This window comes from Homo sapiens, chromosome 4 (genome assembly GCF_000001405.40).
Source record: "Homo sapiens chromosome 4, GRCh38.p14 Primary Assembly".
In the NCBI taxonomy this organism is placed as follows: Eukaryota; Metazoa; Chordata; class Mammalia; order Primates; family Hominidae; genus Homo; species Homo sapiens.
Genome location: NC_000004.12, coordinates 52,631,265 through 52,655,433, shown reverse-complemented (window position 1 = coordinate 52,655,433; position 24,169 = coordinate 52,631,265). Strand labels below are relative to the sequence as shown.

At 41.6% G+C, this 24,169-nt stretch overlaps 1 protein-coding gene across 5 annotated transcripts in view, besides 3 other annotated features; it reads left to right on the top strand.

Annotated features, from left to right (window-relative positions):
* Positions 1-24,169, top strand: part of USP46 (ubiquitin specific peptidase 46) — a 68,342-nt gene that overhangs the window by 3,868 nt on the left and 40,305 nt on the right. The window lies entirely within an intron of this gene.
* Positions 13,221-13,410: an enhancer, noted in NCBI's record as "active region_21555". NCBI's record gives its function as "activates an Ori minimal core promoter by ATAC-STARR-seq in GM12878 lymphoblastoid cells {active_cell/tissue: GM12878}" and the evidence as "EXISTENCE:reporter gene assay evidence [ECO:0000049][PMID:35858748]".
* Positions 13,421-13,490: an enhancer, noted in NCBI's record as "active region_21554". NCBI's record gives its function as "activates an Ori minimal core promoter by ATAC-STARR-seq in GM12878 lymphoblastoid cells {active_cell/tissue: GM12878}" and the evidence as "EXISTENCE:reporter gene assay evidence [ECO:0000049][PMID:35858748]".
* Positions 15,598-15,828: a silencer, noted in NCBI's record as "fragment chr4:53505773-53506003 (GRCh37/hg19 assembly coordinates)". NCBI's record gives its function as "represses an EF-1alpha promoter that drives an FKBP-Casp9 reporter gene in an ReSE screen in K562 erythroleukemia cells {active_cell/tissue: K562}" and the evidence as "EXISTENCE:reporter gene assay evidence [ECO:0000049][PMID:32094911]".

Sequence of the window (24,169 nt, the reverse complement as noted above, 5' to 3'; positions counted from 1 at the left end):
AATGCTGTAAGATGTACCTCTGAGAAAATGCTGTGTATCAAATGATTACGAGTTTTGTTCCGATAAATGGCCATCTGTTGAGGACCTGCTATGTTGGTGTTGGCACAGACTATACTCAAGTGCTTAATAAATGAATGAGGTGAGTCCCTGTCCCCAAGGGGCTCAGCTGTTCCTTATCTTGTGGGTGTTAACATTGGTAAAGATGAAACAATTTCAATACAGTGTTATATCAGCACAGATAGAAGTTGAATAAACTCCCAGCAGCTGTACAGTGGAAAGACCGATTAACACAACAGGACATTTCAAAAATACATTCTCGTTTGACCAAAGTTGTATACACATTCTGCTTCTGGCTTTTATTTTATATGAGGACATGATTGTAGTCAATGTGAGTTAGAATTGAAATCTGCACCATTGGGTGTCTCTCCAGTTAAGCATGAATCTAATGGTGCTTTTGGGCAAACTGTTGTATTTCCGGAGACCTTAGTTTTTCTCATCTTGTAAAACTGATTTTCTGTTTTTGGTCATGAAAAACTTCATGGTAGAATTCCTTAGATAAAGGCTTTATGAAAATCTGCACCTCTTAATTGGTTAGCAACCACTTCATTACCTAACTACCTTGTTTAAAACTGTATTGAACTTATGACATGTTAGCATTTTAGCGTCTGTAGAACAGCCTCAGGATAATTTTTGACATCAGTTTGAGTGCCAGATTTTAGTTCTTTTAAATAAATGAGGTAGGCTGGGCATGGTGGCTCACTGGTAATACCAGTACTTTGGGAGGCCGAGGCAAGAGGATTCTTTGAGCCCAGGAATTCAAGATCAGCCTAGGCAACATAGTGAGACCCAATCTCTACCAAAAAGAAACAAACAAAATCATGTAAATAAAAATGTATCATATAAATAAATGAAGTTATCTGGAAATAAAGGGAAAGTAAACATTACAATTTTGAAACAAAACTAGAGTATTTTTATAGTTTTATCTTGATAAGTCAACTACTTACCTAAGGCAAGTATTTTGAGAATGGTTGGAAACAACTTTTTAATTATTAAAAAATATGTCCATCTTGTGATTTGGGGGAACAGATATCTTGCCTTTTCCTCTGTTACTGTTATTCATGCTTTCCATTCTCAAAGATAGTTGGCAATTATAAGTTTAGTTAATATATCAGCTAGGTGTAAAGTCATATGAGGGTCTACTCTGATAGTTGCTGGGATTAGAAAATACAGTCTGAGGTGAGGTGGATTAATGTTTAAAGAAAAGAAATTCTGTTTTTCTGGCCCCACTGGTCTCATATGCAGAGGTTTATATTAGGTCGGGACCTGACAATTAGTTCTGCGGATTTTTCTGTTTTTCTTGGACTCCTCAGAGAAAACAAAGTTGAATGCTGGTATTTAGTTAGAATGAAAGATTATGATACCTTTTCTGTATAACAACTTTATGTGCTTCAGTTCACTCATACCATAAAATCTGTTTATTTATTCTTCACTAAGTGGAATTTTGGTATGTTTGGGTTATAATTGAAAGGCATTTTCAATTTTGATTCTCTTAGCAATTAAGAGAAATTTCTCTAGCTCAGATGTCTTTTTTTTCCCCCTCCTGGTCTTTCTAGTTAGTGTGAATAGATTGGGGTTCCATGATGGTATTAAATTCTGTGGTATCATCAGAAAGGTATTTGGTAACCACCTATCTCTATCTCTAGCTTACCCATGAAGCCACCCAAAGCTAACTAACTGGAAGAGATGTAAAAGATGGTGTCTTTTAGTCTAGTTAACTTTTCTGGTCTAATTATTTTAATGCAGCTTCTTATAACAAACCTTCAGTTGTGGTGGAACCAAATGCTGATCTAAGGGTTTGAAAGGCCTTGGTGGTCTTTAAGAGAAAAGGCCACCCAAAAATCAATCAGCAAAATCTTTTTTTTTTTTTTTTTTTTTTTTGAGATAGAGTTTTGTTCTTGTTGCCCAGGCTGGAGTGCGATGGCTTCACTGCAACCTCTGCCTCCTGGATTCAAGTGATTCTCCTGCCTCAATCTCCTGAGCAGCTGGGATTACAGTTGCCTGCTACCATGCCTGGCTAATTTTGCATTTTTAGTAGAGATAGGGTTTCACCATGTTGGCCAGGCTGGTCTCAAACTCCTGACCTCAGGTGATCCGCCCGCCTCAGCCTCTCAAAGTGCTAGGATTATAGGTGTGAACCACTGTGCCCTGCCACGAAAACATTCTTGAGACGAACTCTGTGTTAGCGAACAACCCTAACAGTAAAGGGTTTTTGGAATATTTCTCTTCTGGGACTATGGCTTGAAGTTTGAGGGATGCTGTAAGTGCTGTACATGGAAGTTTACCCCAATTCTCAGAATGATTCTTTGCAATGGATAGTTTTAAGATCATGGTGATGGGACTCTGTGGTCGCCAAAGCTTCACTTTACCCTCATAGGGCCAACCTTCCTTTTCTTCCTCAAGTTCCAATGTCACTTTTAGAACCCTCAGATACTTTTTAAATTAGCTCAGACTTTGCCTTTTTTTCTGAGTGATGGTGAATTTTAGACATACAGAAATGTGGAATAATAGAGTGAATACTCGTGTACTCCCCACCCAGTGAAGAAATAAAATACTATATATACATTTAAAACCACCTATGAGTCCTTCCTGATCTCATTGCCTCTCCCCACAGAGTGACCACTATTCTGCATTTAGTGTTTATTGTATATTTTTATATTTTTACTAGATTTGTATGCATTCATAAACTAGATATAGTGTATTTTTTCATGTTTTAAACATGCTTTATAATATTAAACATTCCTCTCAGTTTGCTTTTATTGTTTAAATTGTGATTTTGCTATTTATCCATTGAGAGACACATAATCCTAGTTTATTTTAACTGCTGTATAACATTCCATTATATAAATATGCTATGACACATTCATTTTAATGTTGTAAGCAGGTTTACAAATTTGTGAGTGTGCTGTTTTAATGCAATGAACAGTTGTGAACTCATCTCCCTGTGTATAGTATACACAGTTGACAGTTGACAGTTTCTCTGTGGTGTAAACCTGGAAGGGAATTGCTGGGTCAAAGGAATTTGATCGTCTTCTTTAATAAGTTGCCTGATTGCTCTCCAAAGAAGTTATGCCAATTTGCATTCCAACCAAGCAGCGTTTGGGGGTTCCAGTTGCTTCACATGTTTGCAGATATTTGATATTGCTAGACTTGATGTTTTGCCAGTCTGATGGGTGTGACATTGTGCCTTTGTGGTTTAAAATTTGCACTTTTCCTGTTTGCTAGGGGAGGTTGAACATCTTTTCATGTGTTTGTTATGCTGGTTTGTTTTCAACTCAGGGGCCTGAGAACAGTTTTCCAGGTCTTGAAAGTCAGGATTGTAGTTTTGGTTTTGTCTGAAAACAGGGACAATGAAGAAGGGACAGTGAAGAGGAAAATCAAGGAGACCAAAGCAAAAGTCATGAAAGGTAGGGATGGATTGGAAGATGCAGGTGAAAAAAATGATGACAAGATAATCACTGTGGAGGGGTGAAAACTAGTAACAAAAAGATAATAGAGTAGCACTGAGAAGATACCTTGAATTTTGAGAGTAAATTTGGGAGACCTGCCTGTGCCAGCAAGGCCTTGTTCAAGCCACATTTGCTTTGTTTAATTGACATTGGCTTTAGTGAAAATCGTGTCTGGGGCCTGTTCTGGTGAGAACAGCAGCAAAGCTGGACTTGCAGAGTTTTCCTGTTTACCCAGTTGCTTTTTCAAGTTCTTTTAGAAAGGCATTGTGAAACGATGGTCATCTTCCTAAAATACATTTCTCTGTCCTTCAGGTTAGGTACACAGTGCAGGAAAATTTTTATCTGGATCTGCTTGAATATATACTGGTGGAATTACTGTCTTAAATATTTAGAAAGTATTCTCTACACTTCATTTTAATTTTCAGAGTATGATGAGTATTACCTCATTAAACAAAGAAATGTATGGTTTTAGGTTCTTTGGTGTACCAAAGAATGGTTCCCACATGTGCATTCTCTTATTAAAAATTTAGACTCTGGGGTTCAACACCCAGAGAGTTTGATTAAGTAGGTCTTAGTTGGGGCTCTGGAATCTGCCTTTTAAATTAGTGTTCCCTCCTCCTTCTACTCCCTCCACATTCTGTTATAGGTGAGCTGAGGACCATGCTTGGAGAAATATTGCTTCCCTTGGGTAATAACCTCAGCCTCTTAAAAAATATTGCTTAAGAAATTACCTGCCATGTGAAAGTTTTTAAAAAAATGAATGTAAAATTATTTAAGCTAGTAACTTAACTTTTTCTGTTCTTTTTTCTCTTTCTTTCTTTTTTTTTTTTTTTTTTGAGATGGAGTCTCACTCTGTTGCCAGGCTGGAGTACAGTGGCATGATCTCAGCTCACTGCAACCTCTGCTTCCAGGTTCAAGCGATTCTCCTGCCTCAGCCTCCTGAGTAGGGTACTACAGGCACGTGCCCCCTTGCCCAGCTAATTTTGTATTTTTAGTAGAGACAGGGTTTCACCATGTTGCCTGGGATGGTCTTGATCTCTTGACCTCGTGATCCGCCCACCTTGGCCTCCCAAAGTACTGGGATTACAGGCGTGAGCCACTGCACCCGGCCAACTTAACTTTTTCTTGGTATTAAATAGCCAGGTTTTGTATTAGTTTATATATTCAGAACAGAGATTTTCAGCACTGGCTTTATATCATATCACCTGTGAAGCTTTTAAAAGAAATTTTAAAAATAATAATTAAATCACAAAACATTAACATACAAAAAAGCATGAAAAAATAATGTTATATATGTTTACCTACCCTTCAGATTTAACAGATATTAAAATGTAGCCATATTTGGTTACTTTTATTTTTAGACATATTACTGTAAAAACAGCACTAACTCTTTTTAGACTCTTTTACCTTAAAAACAGACACTAACTCAACCCAATCTCTTTCCTTTCTCTTCCTCCCAGAGCAAACCATTTTCCTGAAGTTGATATGGTGTTTACCAAACATGTCTTATACTTTACTTTGTATTTATGAATTCATAAGCAATGGATTGCAACGTTTGTGTGTGGATAAAATCGTGTAGCTTTTTGCAACTGTCTTTCTTTACTCAACAAGTATATTTGAGATTATGTCAACACATAGAGGTCGAGTTTATTCATTCTGACTGCTCTGTAACAGGATTCTTTGACTTAACCATGGTTTACTTATTCATTCTCTTATTTAGGGGCAGTTTGGTAGTTTCTACAATATTCTCTCTGGAAACAGTGTTGCAGCGAATGTTCTTGCTTCTGTCTTCTTTGCTCAGGTGTCTTCATTTCTTTAGGGTATAATCCTGGAAGTCAATATGCTGCTTTTAGGATGCGCCCATCTGCAGCTTTGCTAGGTGTGTCAAATTGCTCTCCAAAGTGGTTCCACCAATTGGAGCTTTATTGACATGCAGTTTCTAGGGTCCCAGTCTCCAGCGTTTCTGACAGTATGTAGATATAGGTAGTCTGGGGTGAATTTTAGGCACCTGCGTGTGTATGTGTGTGTGTGTATTTTAAGTGCCACAGTTGATTCCGATGTGAGCATCCAAGGTTGATAAACCACCATGTTAGACTGACAACTCTATGAGGGCAGGAACTGTATTTATTTGTATTATTCAGTGTTGATTTCCCAGCTGTCAGCACAGTGCCTAGCACATATGTGGTTGGTGCTCAATAAATAAATATTGATAAATGAATGAAGGGATGTAATTTGGTAGAATGGAAGAATTGCCTTGGAGTAAAGCAGTATGCCTCCAATTTTATCATGCATAGGCATTAGCTGGAGGTCTAGTTGAAATGTCAATTTGGATTCAGCACGTCTGGGGCAGGGCGGAGATTTTGCACTTCTAACAAACTCTCTGGTGGTACAGATAATGCTGGTTTCGGGACCATTTTTAGAGCAGCAAGGCTTTGGGAAAAACAAAACAACTTCTATTTTCCATATAGTTGTAAAGTGGAGGAGTTTGGAATTCAGAATCCTGTTTGGTAAATCTCAGATCCTATTTATCTTTTTACAACAAAGGTAGTCAATGAAATACCTTCTTTAAAGCTTTTTGGGGAGCATCAGAAGAGATCCTGCCCATGGAAGCACTGTGTGAGCTATGATGCCTTCATGCTTGTTAGTTTTCATAATTATTCTCACTCTTTTAGTTCATCATTATTTTCCTTCTGTTTGCTCAAAGTGCAAAGCTGTTGGTATTTCAGGATCCAGTGAAATTCTACTTCCATTTTGACCTGCTGTCCACATTTAGTGGGGCACTTTGGGAGGAGTGACATTGGGGAAGGAAGTTGGCAAAAGCAGAGGCCAAATTCACAGCATGGTTTGGTTCTGACTGGGTGCTGTGGTGGTGAGGGGGCCCTGTGGCCCTGTTTCTGTGGTATTGGGAGACACGGGTAGAGAGAGGCCCACAGGACTCTTCTAATCATTGCTGTAGTGGATGACAGGACAACAGGAAACTGTCTAATTGGGTTCCCAAGTCAGATACTTTTCAAAGAGAAAAGAATGCTCAGAGTAATTATAAAATATTAATTGATCTGTAGGTGTAATCTGAGCTATTCAGGGCAAACTAGAGGTAGGTCCCTCTAAGGTTAAGCTACCATAGGACACTCCTATTTAAATGCAGAGTTTCAGTATGCTTCAGGAACTGGGTTTCCCTGCCTCATGAATCAGAGGGTAATGTAGTAATGGAGAGAAGGCAAATACAAATAAATAAATAAAAAATAACATTCAGAACGAATGCATATTGTATGGTTGGCAGTGTAGGGGTGGATAACCTATTATTTCCAAGCTTTTCTTACTCTAGAGAAAAACTGTGGGATGGATCCAGTTGCTTAGGTCAGTGATACTCAAATGTCAGTTTGTCATCATTGTTCATGGTTTTTGCTACATCTGTGTATCACTTGAACTTATTTACTTAGTTTTCCTTAAATCTGTTCACCCTAATTTGACCTTATTCTGAAACATCTGCAAAATGATGGGTTTGATGAGCTAATTTTATGCTTTTCTAATCCTTTTCAAAAACATTATTGCTACACTTAAAACTGTTCATACTGGTGCCACCTAAGAGTAACTCCCCTCCCTCCAGGATTCATGGCCCATAGTTTGGGTGACATTGGCTCAGATAAGAGGTTTTTTGTAGTGGCTCAAATAATCGGCTCTTGGAGGAGCACCATTTGTTGAACTACTTTGTAGATGATGGTCTGGTCGGTGAGCTTCCTTGGGAGGCAAGTGAGCACATGGCTGAGATATGGTTGGACTTTCTACACCACTGTTGATTGGGTATGAGAGCTTGATGTTCTCTACCCTTGTAAAGACATGCTTCTTATCCATAGCCTGTGGGTGATGAGAGAACTTACCTTCCTGGGTCATTGTGGGGCTTAAGCAGAGAGATTGATGTCTAGTGCTTAGCCTGTTGCCTGGGCATTGCATTACCACTTTCTTCCAGTGCCCTTCTTATTTCCATTAGTGAAAGAGTCCACCAAACACTGTAGTAGACAGAGCCCTGAGCTAGGACTCAGAAATCCCAGGCTCTGATTGCTTTCCAGCTTTAGCGGTGTTGGGCAGGTCACTGAGGCCTCTCTGGGTCTATAAAATAAGAACCACTCCTGCTGGTGAGCAGTGGCAAGAAGACGAGCATGTGTGTTATAAACCAGCTATGGTTTTCAGTCAAGGAGAACTAGGGAAGGGCTGCAGGACAAAAGGAGGAAGAAGCTATGATTTCTGACAAAAATGCCATTGGAAGACACATGCTGGTGGTGTGTGGCCAAGCTTTTGTTGTCACTAGTCAAGATACAATGTTTTTCCTTTTCCTGAGAATGAGAGCACATTCTGTAGTAAAAGATATGTTGTCTTTGAATGAGCTTATACCACACTCTTTTGTGTCATTTGGCACACACAGCCTTCCTAACTGAGAAATACATGAAGTAGCTAAGCGCAGTTTCTTTTCTAAATTTTTAAGTAAAGTGTCTGAATAGGTACTATGAGTTTATGTGGCAGAAATTTCAAAATGTGCACAAGGTTGTATGTTGAAAATAGACCCAGTGTCCAATTCTTATCTCTGGCATCTATCAATAGTTATAGTTTCTTATGCTTCCATTTAGAGTTATATGCATATACAAGCAACTGTGTTTATATTTCTCTCTTAGTTTTTAAAAACACAAAGAGTACATAGAGTATACCCTGATCTGTCCTGATCTGCCCCTTGCTGTTTGTGTCTTGTAGGAGGGTCTGTGGGAAGAGCCACCTCATTCTTTTTTTATGGCTGCAGAGTATTCACTTGCTTGAGTCTACTGAATTCACTGAACCAGGCCCTCACTGACTAGCAGGACATGTTGTAGGTAGTTTTCTAGTCTTCGGTTTTTACAAACAAGGCTGTAAGGAACAACTTTGTCCATATGTGGGAGTATATCTGTGGACCGACTTCCTAAAAATGGATTTGCATTTGTAACTGGGATGGATTTTGCCAAATTGCCCTCCATCAGCAATATGTGTGACTCTGGCTGCCTGCAGCCTTGCCAAAGCAGTGTGCTACCCAGAAACCTTTTGATCTTTGCCAGTCAGGGGAAAGATGGTGTCTTAGTATATTTGTAGTTTGCATTTCTCTTATTAGAAGTGAGCTTCAGCAGCTATTCACATATTTAGGAAAATAAACTCAATTTTATTTAAATACCTTGCTGTTGGTAATTATTTTCAGAGTCTGTAGGGAAGGACCAGTTTTATTGTTATTTTCAATCTGTCTCAGACCAATATATTTGTAAAATACAATAAAAAGGAATAACTAGCAAAATGGAATTAAAAAAACCCAAAGAGAAATAAAATGCAAGCCTTAATTTTTTTGTTACTAAACTTGACAGATACAAAATTACTCTATCCATTCATTTTATCTCCATGTTTTTAGTTTCTGGATGTAGCTCACCACAGAGAGTTTTGAGTAAATAACATTGCTGTAAAGAACAACTTACTCATGTTTTTTCTCCCATTGCTACTCTATTTGAGGATGGGAGGAGAGAGCCCAGAATTTTATATTTTACATTTCATAATCAGCACATTTCAGGATGGTTTTGTTACATTAGTGGAAAATATCTCTGATGGTGCAATACTGACCCAGGAGGGACTGGTTCCCGAGGGCCGGGTTGCCGCACAAGTGCATTGAGGCATGTTGACTCCTGCAGTGCTCCCCATGCTGTAAGGTGGGAATGCAGGTGTTGTGATTTTCACTGATGAAGACCTTGAGCTTGGATGAGAAGATGGGAGGATGAAATCACCCTATTAATAAAATTTACAGAGCAGGCCTATATTAGTCCATTCTCACAGTGCTATAAAGAACTACCTGAGACTGGGTAATTTATGAAGAAAAGAGGTTTAATTGACTCACAGTTCCAAAGGCTTAACAGGAAGCATGACTGGGAGGCTTCAGGAAACTTAAAATCATGGCAGAAGGTGTAGGGAAAGCAGGCACATCTTACCATGGTGGAGCAGGAGAGAGCAAGAGAGAAAGGGAAAGTGCCACACACTTTCAAACAACCCGATCTTGTGAGAACTCACTCACTATCATGAGAACAGCGAGGGGAAAGACCGCCCCAATGATCCAATCACCTCCCACCAGGCCCCTAGAATTGTGGGAATTACAATTCTAGATGAGATTTGGGTGGGGACACAGAGCCAAACCATATCAAGGCCTCTTTGACCTAGGATTTTGCAAGGACCCCAGCCTCCTCTGCTGCCTTTCTGGGAACAGATGGGAAGTGTATTTGTGGGTAAAGTAGGAGCTTAGGGGACATGATAATTCAGGCAGCATCTTGGTGGCTTTGTAGAAGGATTGAATTGGAAATGAGGTTCTTGCTTCTAGCTCACTGAGTTCAGTGACATAAGTGGCTATTTCCTTGTCTTCCACCTGCAGCTAGAAAACAGGCATGGTCTCAAGATTCTTTGTTCTGCTTTTGACTTGAAGTTTTAGTTTTGCATGAGGACTTCATTTTGTTATCTCTAAATATATGGAGAATTGTTTTGCCAGCCACAGCTTCTTTCTAGATGTTCTTTAATGCTCCTTGCTAGAATGACTTGGGATGGTCATGTAGTCAAGTATCCCAGGTCAGCTTTCTTCAGTGGCAGATGTTTTGGCTTCTGTGTACAATTATTAAATGAAGTCATGTTGAGGTTTTCTTTTTTTTTTTTTTTTTTTGAGATAGAGTCTGTCTTCACCTCACAGGCTGGAGTGCAGTGGCGCGATCTCGGCTCACTGCAACTTCTGCCTCCCGGGTTCAAGCTATTCTCCTGCCTCAGCCTCCCGAGTACATGGGATTATAGGTGCATGCCACCATGTCCGGCTAATTTTTGTTGTTGTTGTTTTGAGATGGAGTCCCTCTCTGTCACCCAGGCTGGAGTGCAATGGCACGATGTCAGCTCACTGCAACCTCCACCTCCTGGGTTCAAGCAATTCTCCTGCCTCAGCCTCCTTAGTAGCTTGGCTTACAGGCGCGTGCCACCACGCCCGGCTAATTTTTTGTATTTTTAGTAGAGACGGGGTGTCACCATATTGGTTAGGCTGGTCTCAAACTCCTGACCGCGTGATCCACCCACCTCGGCCTCTCAAAGTGCTGGGATTACAGGCGTGAGCCACTGCGCCTGGCCAAGGTTTTTTTCAGAGGTTTTTTTTTTTTTTTTTTTTTAATTCAATATCATGTAAGATAGCGGTCCCCAAACTTTTTGGCACCAGGGACAGGTTTTGTGGAAGACAATTTTTCCACAAACCTGGGCAGAGCTGGGGATGGTTTTGGGATGAACGTTCCACCTCAGATTATCAGGCATTAGACTCTCAGAAGGAGTATGCAACCTAGATCCCTCTGATGCGCAGTTCACAATAGAGTTCACTCTCCTATGAGAATCTAATGCTATTGCTGATCTGACCGGAGGTAGAGCTCAGGTGGTAATGCCTGCTCACCTGCTGTGCCGCTTGGTTCCTAACAGGTCACAGAACTGTACCTGGGGGTTGGGGACTTCTGACATAAGACATAGAAGTGACATGTTGTCATGCTGTGGGATGAAAATGCCCCTTGACTGCCTTCTTGTTCATGATTGCTTTCCCTGTTGAAGCCTGGAGAGGAGTGGGCTGTTGAAACAGGAGCCAGGGTTGTGGAATAATGGTGTTAAGATCATAGGTTCACCACTTACCTCTGCCTCATGCTAACACTTGACCTTGGCAAGTTAGTTAACCTCATTTCCTTCAGCTATGACATGGGGATAATGAGTCCCCATCAGTGATTTATTTGGCAGAGAGAGTCACATTCAGTATTGCTCAGTGGGACAGGGGCTCCGTGGTGATATGTTGCTAACTAAACAGGTCAGGCATTCGTAGCCACTCTGGGTAAGTGCCCGGTGGTTAGGTAATGTGTGACAGCCAGCAGCCAAAGTGGACATACTCAGAGACAGTTCCTGGCTGGCTGCCCAAGCCTTACATCTGTAGCTAAAGAATTACTGAAAATGTGAATGAAAATATCTCCTCTCCTGGCTTGTGGTCCAGAGCTCAGACTCAGGAACCGAATTTACATAGGTTTGAATCCCAGATCTGCTCTTATTGGCTGAGTGAGCTTGGGCAGGTTCCCTACATTTTTTTCATGTGTAGAATGGGGATATTAAGAGTAATCTGCCTTGGGGTGGCAGGCAAGATTAAATGAATATGTAGATGTGAAGTTCTCTGAATGAGTGGCACCTACTGCTAACTTTTCCCCTGCTTCCCAAGTTTATTCAGTGAGCAAATTTATCAAGTGCCTTCTATACAACCAGACATTCTACTAGGTGCTGGCAAATGAATCAGACCTAATTGCTGCCCTTATAAAGCTTATGGCATAGTACAGGGGTTGGTAAGCTTTTCTGTAAATGTCTGGACAGTAAATGCTTTAGACTTTGTGGGCCGTAGTGTCTCTATCACAGCTACGCAATTCTGCTGTTAATATTGTGAAAGTAGTTGCCATAAGTAAATGAATGATCATGGCTGTGTTGCAGTAAAACTTTATTTATGACAACAATTGGTGGGTCATATTCTGCCCATAGGCTGTAATTTGCAGACCTGTGGTCTAGTGGGAAGACAGTTGTTAAATAATTACAATTATGATGTTACAGATTGTGCTAAGGGCTGTGGAGGAACAGACAGGATTCTATGAGTGGGAAGGGTCAGGGAAGGTAGCTTTGAAGAAGTGACATTGAAACCAAATGATGAGGAGAGGCAGCCAGAGGAGGAGATGGAGGGTGCTCCAGGCTGGTCTGTGGGTTCGTATCTTTTAAAGGCATAACAGATATTCTGCAGCTTTCTTTGGATTAAAATAAATAATTTCGTTCCTCTATTTAATTCATCGCCAGTTTTCTCCTCCCCTACCCTCTCCCTGCAATAATCCAAGAGATAAGCTATGTTACCAAGAGATAAGCTACATTAATATATTAACACATTTTGTTCTGCATATGCACTTTCTTTCTCTCCCTTTTCCATTGTTTTTGTTATATTATTGTCAGTATCTATCCAAGTATTTAGTAAAGATTGCACATTATTTCATTATTAGGTGTAGAATGGTTTACTCTCTAGAACTCAAATTTGCTTTTTGGTACGGTTTTCTCTTTTAGCATTTTAAAAGTTGACATTATTTGTTTTTATTCTTTGGCTAGATAAAAGGTCCACAGTCTTTGAAGTGATTTTGAAAAAAAATCTGCTTTCCTCTTAACTACATCTCATGTCTCCTCTGACTCCCAACCTCAATTTTATGTTTTCTCTAAACAAGTTGCCAGTACTCTGTAGAGATTCCATGGAAAAGGACTTGTGTGTTCTCATTCTAGAAAATTTCAAGGGGTGCTTCAGAAGGAAGGGGGTTCTCCCAACAACTTTGTGACCTCTTCGGTTTCTTCAGTTCTTTCAGTTCTGTGGTTCCAAGGAGACTCTGCCTCCCTGAGAGTCAATATTATGTAGTAGTTAGGGGCACACACACTGGAGCCAGATTGTTCAAGTTCAAACCCAATTCCAGTACTTAGTAGCTGTGTGAACTTGAATAGTTCCCTGCCCTCTCAGTTTTCTTATCTTTAAAATAAGGCCAGTAGCAGTGTCTGCCTCATAGAGTTATTATGAAGATGAAAATGAATGAAATACAAGTAAAATCCCTAGAACAGTAACTGTACACAGTCTATGCTATTTATGAGTTCTCTATTATTATTAATTACATCAGAGGCATCGGTAGCCATAATTCCTCTGTAATCACCCTTGAATTCTGTCAGGTGTCTTCTGACTCATCCTGAGATCTTGGGCTGAGTCACTTCATTTTTGCTTCACTTTCTTCATAAGACTATAGGAATGATCTTTGTCATCAGAATTCTGGGGACACTAGTCCTTTTGAAAATAGGTCCTTTATGTGCTTTGTACTTTGAAAGTATAGTTGATAAGTAGAGTAGCCTTTTGAACGATAGATCTACAAATGTGGGTTTAGCAGCAATGTTCACCTCTTCTGTCATCCACTTTAATTTATGGTCTATAATTAATGACTTATTCTCTATGTACTTAGAAATCCTTACATGTTATCTTTGGCCTTTCTTGTGTCCCTTCCTTGTACAAACTTGAAAGAAAGGCTGCATGTCCTAGGATGCAGATAAATGAGGTGCCTTAGAAAGATCTTGGGCAAGTAAGTTTACTTCTCTGGGCCTTCGTTTTTTAATCTGTGGCATGGTCTGGCTCTTCTCCAAGGATGCTTCCTGGTCCCTGTGTTTTTGTTTTAGGCTCTTCCATATTTTGACAGTGTTCTCATTGGTTTTTCCAGACCTTTTAATGCCATTGTTTTGATTATTTCCTCCTTCTGGGCAAGGCCGTCTTCATCCTTTACCCCTCGACCAAGGAAGAAATTCTAACTTGTTTTCCTTGTAAATTGCTTCAAAACATTTCTTTCTTTATCCGTCTTATGCATTTATGAATCATCCTTCCTGGGATTTTGTTATTGTTGTTTGTGTTTTGGTAGCACCCCTTGGCAGTCATAGAATTGCTTTCAGAGGTGCTTTGAGGAGCTAACATTATAGTCTTGTTGGAACTTGTCCCAGCTCAGATGCTATTTTTAATAAAGTTGGCTGCACTGTTTTTCAAAGGTTACTACGTTTTTTACTGATGGAAATAAGAACCCTATGTTTCTTATGCTTCCCGACCCTGTGATTTACCCCCCAAGATCGGTACTTTGTTCACCATCTGGTCATATAACAATTATTTTTCAGTTCCCCTCATTGCCTTTTGTGTCTTGTGCAGGGTGCTAGCAATAGAAGTGCAATCTCTTGGGTTTGTAACATACTTTACAATTTATACAGTGCTGATAACATTCCCAGTTTTGCTTCATTCTCTCTGCTGCCCTGAGGAATAGTCAGGCTGGATATCAACAGCCCAGCCTCTCAGCCAGGAAGTTAAGGCCACAGAGAGGTAAAGTGACTGAAATCAAAGGCATTTCATAGTGGTAAAAAAAAAAAAATGGCCAAATACAGCTCTGAGGTATTTGCCGAGGGCCTTAGGCAACTGGTTTGCAGGACATTTGTTTACTAAACTTTCATTATATTTTTAAAAATTTGTTAATTTTTTTTTTTTTTTTTGAGATGGAGTTTTGCTCTTATTGCTTAGGCTGGAGTGCCGTGGCGTGATCTTGGCTCATTGCAACCTCTGTCTCCCAGGTTCAGGCAATTCCCCTGCCTCAGTCTCCTGAGTAGCTGGGACTACAGGCATGTGCCACCATGCCTGGCTAATTTTGTATTTTTTTTTTAAGTAGAGACAGAGTTTCTCCATGTTGGTCAGGCTGGTCTCGAACTCCCAACCTCAAGTGATCCGCTCACCTTGGCCTCCCAAACTGCTAGGATTACAGCCATAAGCCTGGCCTAAAATTTTAATAAAAAATAATAATTGCTCATAGTAAAAATTTGAAGAGTTAAGAAGATAATAAGAAAAGCCACTTCTTGACCTCCTCTTCTTCTAGGCCTACTCCCTGATGCTGAAGACCACTGTTATAATCTCTCAAGTCTTCTTTCAAAAATTTCCATTAAATGTAGATGTTGAATACAGTGGCCTGGTCTTGTTCACCTTGTGTCCCTCAGATGTAGAATAGAGCCAGGCACGTCGCAGGGCTCAGTGTCTGTTGATGGAATGAACCACATTTACAGTATTGTCCTATGCAACACGTTATTACTCTGTAACATGTTTTTACTTATCATTGTATCTTAGGCAAATTTTCATAGCAGTACCTGTAGGGTAACTTTACTTTTTAAATTAGCTACATGGTATTCCATCATATGAATTACTATAATTATTTACCCAATTCAAGTTACTCCCATTTTTTTTTTCCTGTTAGAAAGCTTGCTGCAGGGATATGACTACTGATTGTCCCCTCAGTATCCATTTTTCAGCCAGGCACAATGGCTCACACCAGTAATCCCAGCACTTTAGGAGGTCAAGGGGAAAGGATTGTTTGAGCCCAGGAATTTCGAGACCAGCCTGGACAACATGGCAAGACCCTGACTCTACCAAAAAAAAAAAAAAAAAAAAAAACCCAGGCATGGTAGCATATGCCTGTAGTACCAGCTACTCATGGGGCTGAGGTGGGAGGATCACTTGAGCCTGAAAGGTTGACGCTGCAGTGAACCCTGTTAGCACCACTGCACTCCAGCCTGGGCGACAGAGTGAGAACCTGTCTGAAAAAAAAAATTCACTTTTCATTTCTAGAGACATTTTACCTGGTCGTGGCTGCCCAGGTAAAGACCACCTTTGCCAAACTCCCTTGCAGCTAGGTGTGGCCATATGACTAGATTAGATTCTAGCTAGCAGGATTGTGAGCAAAAGTAATGTGTGCAGCTTCCAGGAGCATCCTAGAGGAGGATCAGTCCTTTCCCATTTTTTTTTCTGCTTCCCCCTGGCAGAAGGCATTTGGTGGTAGGAGCTAGAGTAGCCATATTGGTTCCAAAGATGGAAACTGGCTCTTGAGGATGACAGTGCAACAAGATAAAAGGACCCCGAGTCCTCAACACTGCAGAGCAGCTGTATCAGGCCCACGCTGCATCCTCTTGCATACTTACATGAGAGAAAAATAAATTTTCATCTTGTTTAATCCACACTTACATTATTTGGGTCTTTTTACAGCCTTTATCTCTTTTTCCACTTCTGTGAAAATATAGTAGAATAAAAAAAGTCAAATTGCAGGGTTGAAGGATATGGTCATTTAAAACTTTGATGCTACTGCTTAATTTATCTTTAAGCAATTATCATCATGATCTCATGAAACATTCCCCATCATGTCTGTGTTCTTTTATTATGCAAACATTTACATTTAACATATTTAAGCCCTAAGTCTGTTAAGGATGCACAAAGATTCACGTTACCAATGAAAAATGCTAGCATGTGAAGTAGGAGTTTGGTTCCAAATGTCAATATCAGTGACATTCTGTATCCATGGAAACCAATTCTTAGAGTATGTGTCTATAAAAGGGAAGGGAGAATGGGGAAGTGGTGAAGGGTACCGCTTATGCCTCACTGAACAGTACATAGGGAGAGCACGAACATATGTTTCCAAATTATCATGCACATGGAAGCTACCCAGACAGCCCTACCCATCCCTGTCCATGCATGCATTCATCCAGCCATCAGTCCATGCAGCAGGTATTGTGGGGCTACTATGTGCTAGCCACTGAGAACGCAGTATTGGGCAGGTCAGACACATTCTTTGCTCCCACGAGTAATATATATATTTTTTTCATAAAAAAAATATATATATAAAATTATATATATTATATATATAATTTAGGGCATTGGACAGATGTTAATAATTATATAAATAATAACTGGAATATATAAGGGAGACATACAGGATGCTATGAGTGGGGAGTAGAGCATGGGGCGGGGTATATTACTTTCCTATTGCTGCTGTAAAAATTACCACAAACTTAGTAGCTTAAAAAGACAAAAATATATTATCTTACAGTTCTGGAGGTCACAAGCCTTAAAATCCAGGTGCAGCAGGGCTGTACACCTTCCAGAGGCTCTAGGGGAGAATCTATTTCCTTGCCTTTTCTAGTTTGTAGAGGCTGCCTGCATCCCTTGGCTCATGGCTCCTTCTTCCCTCTTCAAGGCCAGCAGCATGGCATCTTCAGTCTCTCCGTCTGACCTCTACATCTGTTGTCACGTCCCGTCACTGATTCTGACCTTCTTGCCTCCCTCTCTTGAAGTCACTTGTAATTATACTGTGTCTCCTGGGATAATCCAAGATAATCTCCCCATCTCAAGGTTCTTAATTATTTAATCATATCTGCAAAGTCCCTTTTGCCACATAAGGTAACGTCATCATGGGTTCTAGGGATTAGGGCCTGGACACCTTTGGGAGGGGCAGTATTCTCTCTGTCACAGAGGCTGACTTAACCTAGGGGTGCCAGTGTAGAATTCTCCTGGGAGCTGACCTTTAAGCTGGCCTTGCAGGATGCTGGGACACAGGCGTCTGAAGAAGCAGGGAAGGAGGAGCACTCAGATGGTAAGCAGGGGGCATTTGAGGTACCGGAGAACAGCAGGAGGGCCATTGGAACAGGGGATGAGGGGCAGGAGATGAGGTTGGAAACAGCAGTGAAGGTCACTGGAGGATTTTAAGCAGATTCATATTTTAAAAGAGCACTTTTTGCAGCGTTGACAGTGGGGTTAGAGGTAGGTAAGGTGGGCAGTAGAAGCCATTCAGGATGTGGTTGTAATTCAGATGAGAGATCTGGTAGTCTGGCCTAGCTGGTGGCAGTAGAGTAAAAGAGAAGCACATGAGATTGAGAGATTTAGTGAGGGTGAGGCAATAGGACAGTGATGGATGGGCAGAGAGTGCAGAGGACGATGTCGGCATGACCCATAGGTTTTTGACATGAGCCAAGAAGAGGAGGGTATTGTTCTTTTCTGAGCAGGGAAACACCAGATAAATGAAAAATCTAGTTTTAGTTAAATTGATTTTGAGATCCTGTAAGACAAGTAAGTGGATTTGCCAGTATTCATTCAGCCTGGAGCTCAGAAATGAGGTGTCCAGGCTGCCGAGAAAGAGTTGGAAATGGTTGGCATGTAGCAGCTGATTGAAGCCATGTGAGTGGTTCCTGCCTGGGCCTGGGAGAGGGTGGAGGGCCCCAGACAGCCCTTGGAAAAAGCCAGCCACCTAAAAGTGCCATGGAGTTTGCCAGATTTGAAGCTCAACAGTGATGAAGTGAGGGTAGAGCCCAGAAGGGGCTTTTCGAGGAGTGATTTGGAGATAAGGAAGTAGAGACAAGTCTTAAGATTTTATTAGGAGGCTGGGTGCAGTGGCTCATACCTGTTATCCCAGCACTTTGGGAGGCCAAGGTGGGCAGGTTGCTTGAGTCCAGGAGTTTGAGACTAGCCTGAGCAACATGGAAAACCCTGTCCCTACAAAAAAATACAAAAATTATCTGGGTGTGGGTTATGCACCTGTAAGTCCCAGCTACTTGGAAGGCTGAGGTGGGAGGATCGCTTGAGCCTGGGAGGTCAAGGCTGCAGTGAGCCAAGATCACACCCATGCACTGCAGTCTGGGCAATAGAGTGAGACCCTGTCTCATAAAAAGAAAAAAAAAAAGATTTTATTATGGAACACCTGAGACATTTTGTATTAATTTACTATTATTGCTGTAACAAATTACCATTAACTTAGTGTCTTTTTTTTTTTTTTTTTTTTTTTTGAGACAGAGTCTTACTCTGTCACCCAGGCTGGAGTGCAGTGGCACCATCTTGGCTCACTGCAACCTCTGCCTCCTGGGTTCAAGCAATTCTCCCGCCTCAGCCTCCCAAGTAGCTGGGACTACAGGTGCCTGCTATCATGCCCGGCTAATTTTTGTATTTTTACTAGAGATGGGGTTTCACCATATTGGCCAGGCTGGTCTTGAACTCCTGACCTTGTGATCTGCCTGCCTTGGCCTCCCAAAGTGCTAGGATTACAGACGTGAGCCACCGCGCCTGGCCAACTTAGTGTCTTAAATAATATACATTTATGATCTTACAGTTCTGGAGGTCAGAAGTCTGAAATGGGTCTCACCGGGCTAAAATCAAGGTGGTACCAGGCTGTGTTCTTCTGGGAGGCTGTAAGGAGACCCATTTCCTTGCCTTTCCTGGTTTCCAAAGGCTGCCTACCTTGCTTGCCTCTGGCCTCTTCCTCCATCTTCAAAGCCAGTGAGGGTGAGCTGAGACCTCACACATTGCCTCACTCTGATCTCTTCTGCTTCTGTCTCTCACTTGGAAGGACCCTTGTGATTGACCCCATTGGGCCTACCTGGAGAATCCAGGACAATCTCCCTATTGTAAGGTCACTGGGTTAGCAAATTAATTCCATCTACAGCCTGAATTTCCTTTTGCCATGTCAGGTCATGTATTTTCTAGTTATGGAGGTTAGGGGGACTACTATTCTGCCTATATACATCGATGTGAAAAATAAACAGAAAGCACAGTGAACCCCTACACACCCATCACTCAACTTCAACAACACAGCTTTATCCTCCACCCCCACTTCTCCCCACCTCACCACCAGCTTGTTTGAAACCCATCTCAGAAATCATCTGATTCATCCATAAATGTTTCAGAATAAACAGTTGTTTAAGAAAGTTTAGCTCTGAGGGGGAAGTGAGGAGGAGGGTAACTGGAGGTGATGTTTGGGGCAGTGTGGGTGTGTGTATTTTTGATATGGGAGATGCTGAAGCATGTTTAAATGCTGACGGGAAGGATCTGATAGAGGAGGAGAGATTGCCCTTGGACAAGAGAGATCTCTCTGTCATTAGCAAGAAAGAAAGAGGCATGTAGGAAGTTGGGGGAGTCCCTGTCTAATAGTTAATGGTTTTTTTCTGTTGAGTGGAAGGCCAGTGAGAAGGGTCAAGGGGATGGCGAGGTTTTGAGGAACTTGGGGACCATTGGAAATGAGCACTATGGAGTGGAGAGTGAATGCACTGGAGAAACCCTGAAATGTGGGACCTGTTGTGGGCCACTTGAAATGGGGGCATTCCAGTGAATCTAGTCGGCTTGGTTGTTTGACCTTTTTTTCCATCTAGCATTGCACATTTGTCTGGGTGTATGTTCAGAGAGGAAAATGTTTGGTTTACACTGGCTTGGCTTTCTTGCCAGATCGTATGGCCAAAGGGCAGGGTGAGGGCTATTTAGAAGAGCAGCTGGATCCGTTATCCATATACTCAAAGTTGAATGAGAAAGTAGAGGACTAGAGGTTCTGGAGAGATGTAGATGTGGCTGTGATGGTGGGCTTAAAAGAAGCCAGTGGTAACATTGCCTGGAGGGTATAAGGAGGCAAAAAAAAAAAAAAAAAGAAGAAGTAGAAGCAGCCAGCTGACAGCTGAGTTTGGGTAGACTGTGGGCAGTTGCATTTGAGGATTTCAGGGTGATGGCCAGATCCAGGGTGTCTATGGGAGGGGTAGCTGAAGTGGAATGGAATTTTAAAAAGTGGAGTGAAATAAAAGACAATTGAAAAATAGGACATCAAGTTGCTGCGAGAGCATGGGTGGGATGGCTCATCCATCCACATGGGTGTTGAAATCACCTGGGATGATACCAAGAGTTGTAGTATAATTGTAGGTCTTCCATGAGTCGGGTCAGCCAAGACAAGGGTCAAGGAAGGAGCTTCACAGTGGTGGGAGGCATAGATCTCAGAAAGGGAGATGTTTTGGCTGGGCGTGGCGGCTCATGCCTGTAATCCCAGCACTTTGGGAGGCCGAGGCAGGTGGATCACTTGAGGTCAGGAGTTTGAGACCAGCCTGGCCAACATGGTGAAACCCCATCTCTAGTAAAAATACAAAAATTAGCTGGGCATGGTGGCGAATGCCTGTAATCCCAGCTACTCAGGAGGCTGAGGCAGGAGAATTTTTTTTTTTTTTTTTTTTGAGACAAAGTCTCGCTCTTGTCGCCCAGGCTGGAGTGCAATGGCGTGATCTCAGCTCACTGCAACCTCCGCCTCCTGGGTTCAAGTGATTCTCCTGCCTCAGCCTCCTGAGTAGCTGGGATTACAGGCGGCTGCCACCACAACCGGTCAATTTTTGTATTTTTAGTAGAGACAGGGTTTTACCATGTTGGCCAGGCTGGGCTCAAACTCCTGACCTTAGGCAATCTGCCCACCTCAGTGTCCCAAAGTGCTGGGATTACAGGCGTGAGCCACCATGCCTGGCCCAGGAGAATTGTTTGAACCCAGGGGGTAGAGGTTGCAGTGAGCCGAGATCAAGCCAGTGCACTTCAGCCTGGGGACACAGCGAGACTGCGTCTCAAAAAAAAAAAAAGAAAAAAGACACGAAAATGTTTTTACAAGAGGGTAAGGGTGTCATGGTCTAGAAGCAGCGCCAAGGATCAGGGCCCAGCCAACTTCTCCTCATGACCCTTGCAGATCCAAGCAAGCTTAACCTGAGGGGTGTTGAGGAAGTGTTGGCCTCAGAGTAGAGCCAGTTTTCACTGAAAGCACAGAGAGCTCACTTTGATTTTTCGCTGTGCTGTTTTGTCCTGTCCTGTGCTGTGCTGTGTTGTGCTGTGGTACACTCAGCCTCCTGCCTGAGTGGGCCAGGCCTCTGTCTCCAGCATATTTCTCTTGAACACTGACCCCTGGGTTGCCATCCTTAGTATGAGTCATCACCTCCAGGTTCCCATCTCCCAAAATGGGAAAATATTAAGATAGGTAGAAAAAGCACACCGAACCTAAGAATTTCCATAACTTGAATATGTTCCTACATCATAAAGAAAGATTTAATGGTATCTCTCTCCATGTGCTATACTTTTATATCTGACATTCCTCCCGGGCTCTAAGCCATATATCCTAATTTTGCTTGAAGAATGGTTATGGGGGTATATTTAATATGCATTATTTACATTGATTTATGCTTGAGATATAACTTTATTGAAAATTTTTAGTGATTTTTGTCTATACCAAAAAGTCCTACCATAATTTGCTGTGTTATTTCAAAAATTCAGCCTTGTATATAGTGTCACATTATTGTGAAGGCAGTGAGCACTCCCCAACTCCCCCATACTAATGAAAAGACATGGAAACTATCCTAGATGCAAATGATCCTTGAACTGTAAGTCTCACATGACAGGTAAAGGGAGTTATTCGTTTGGTGCAACAGTATTAAGGACCTAGGAAACAAGTGGAATTTGAAGGATGTTATGATGAGGGGAGGCTGTGTGCCATTTCTACTGTAGTTCTGTGGTCCGAGGAGGGTCATTTTGCATTTAATGTTTGCTTAGGGACAAGTGGCCATTTCAACTAGTTCTCAGTTACGTTTTGGTCATTTCTTTCTGTGAGAGGAGATGCCAGTTGTGAGTCCAAAATAAGTAGTAGCAGCAGATCAATTTTTAAAAATGAAACTTACCTTTCTTTTTCTTTCTTTCTTTCTTTCTTTCTTTCTTTCTTTCTTTTCTTTTCTTTCTTTCTTTCTTTCTTTCTTTCTTTCTTTCTTTCTTTCTTTCTTTCTTTCTTTCTTTCTTTCTCTTTCTTTCTTTCTCTTTCCCTTCCTTCCTTCCTTCCTTTTCTTTCTCTGTCTTGTCTTCTCTTGTCTTTTCTTTTTTTTTCTGTTCTGTTCTGTTCTTTTCCTTCTTGAGACAGGGTATCACTCTGTTGCCCAGGCTGGAGTGCAGTGGTGCCATCACAGCTCACTGCACAGCCTCCACCTCCCCAGGCTCCTTCCACCTCAGCCTCTTGAGTAGCTGGCACTACAGGTTTGTGCTACCTGCTAAGTTTTATATTTTTTGTAGAGACAGGATTTTACCATGTTGCCCAGGCTGGTCTCGAACCACTGAGGCTCAAGGGATCTGCCCACCTCAGCCTCCCAAAGTGCTGGAATTACAGGTGTGAGCCACCATGTCCGGCCAAAACTTTTTTCTTATTCATTTAAAAATACCTGTCTCTTAAGTCTTGAGTTTCTGTGAGCTGTTAGTCTTCCATGATGGCCTGTGAAGGTAGACAGAGCCTTCTCTAGAATGATGATAGAGTCCATGGTACAAATGGAGCCTTATTTTACTTGCTTCCCAAACTACTTACCTTATTGGACTGAACATGGGTCACTTTTCCTAATCCTAGAAGACTCATTCAGGTCTTAGGGAGTGCTGATAATCATTTGCCAGTAACTGACCCTTAGTGGGGCTCAACAAAAGGTTTAATAGTAGAATTGCTCTGCACAGCATTTGCTTATGATTGTGGACTCTCAAGTCTGCCTCTTAGGTTCAAATCCTAGCTCTACCACTTACAATGGACCTTGGGTGGATTCTTAAATGCTTCTGAGTCTTAAGTTCCTTGTCCGTGCAATGGGGATAGTAGTAGTACTTACCTCACTTACCTCTCTTTCCCCTTCTTCCCCTTCCCTTTCCCCTTCCCCTTCCCCTTCCCCTTCCCTTGCCTTCCCTTTCCAATGGAGTCTCATTCTGTACCCAGGCTGGAGTGCAGTGGCACAATCTTGGCTCACTGCAACCTCCAGCCCCCAGGTTCAAGCAGTTCTCATGTCTCAGCCTCCCGAGTAGCTGGGATTACAGATGCCTGCCACCACACCTGGCTAATTTTTGTATTTTTAGTAGAGATGGGATTTTACCATGTTGGCTAGGCTGGTTTGAAACTCCTGACCTCAAGTGATCCGCTCACCTCGGCCTCCCAAAGTGCTGGGATTATAGGCATGAGACACTGCACCCAGCCCCTGCACTATTATTTTTAAATAAACTCTCCAACACACTTTTCCTTTCAGTCTGTCTTCATCTGCTAAAATGTGAAATCCATGAGAGCAGGCATTGTGTGTTTAGCTCACTGTTCTGTTATCCATGCCCAGACCTAGAGAACAGTGTGTCTGGCTTAGTGGGTGCTCAGTAAATCTTTATTAAAATGAATACATTGACTTTGATAGTGGTAATATGATTCTGTATGCCATCAAATATTACAAAAGCTGCTGTAGCTGTTTGAAATGCCCGTGTTTTATTCAGAAGTTCTTGGCGATTGTTTGTTCATTTGCCTGTCTCAAACTTTCTTTTCTAAATAGAAAATTGAAGTCAAGTAGAGTAGGTTTTAGGGGATGAATAAGTTGAATGAGAAGAAGAATAAGGCTGACATTATTAACTACTCTTCTGCTTTACTTCTGACACATTTTTCTTCAGTGCAAAC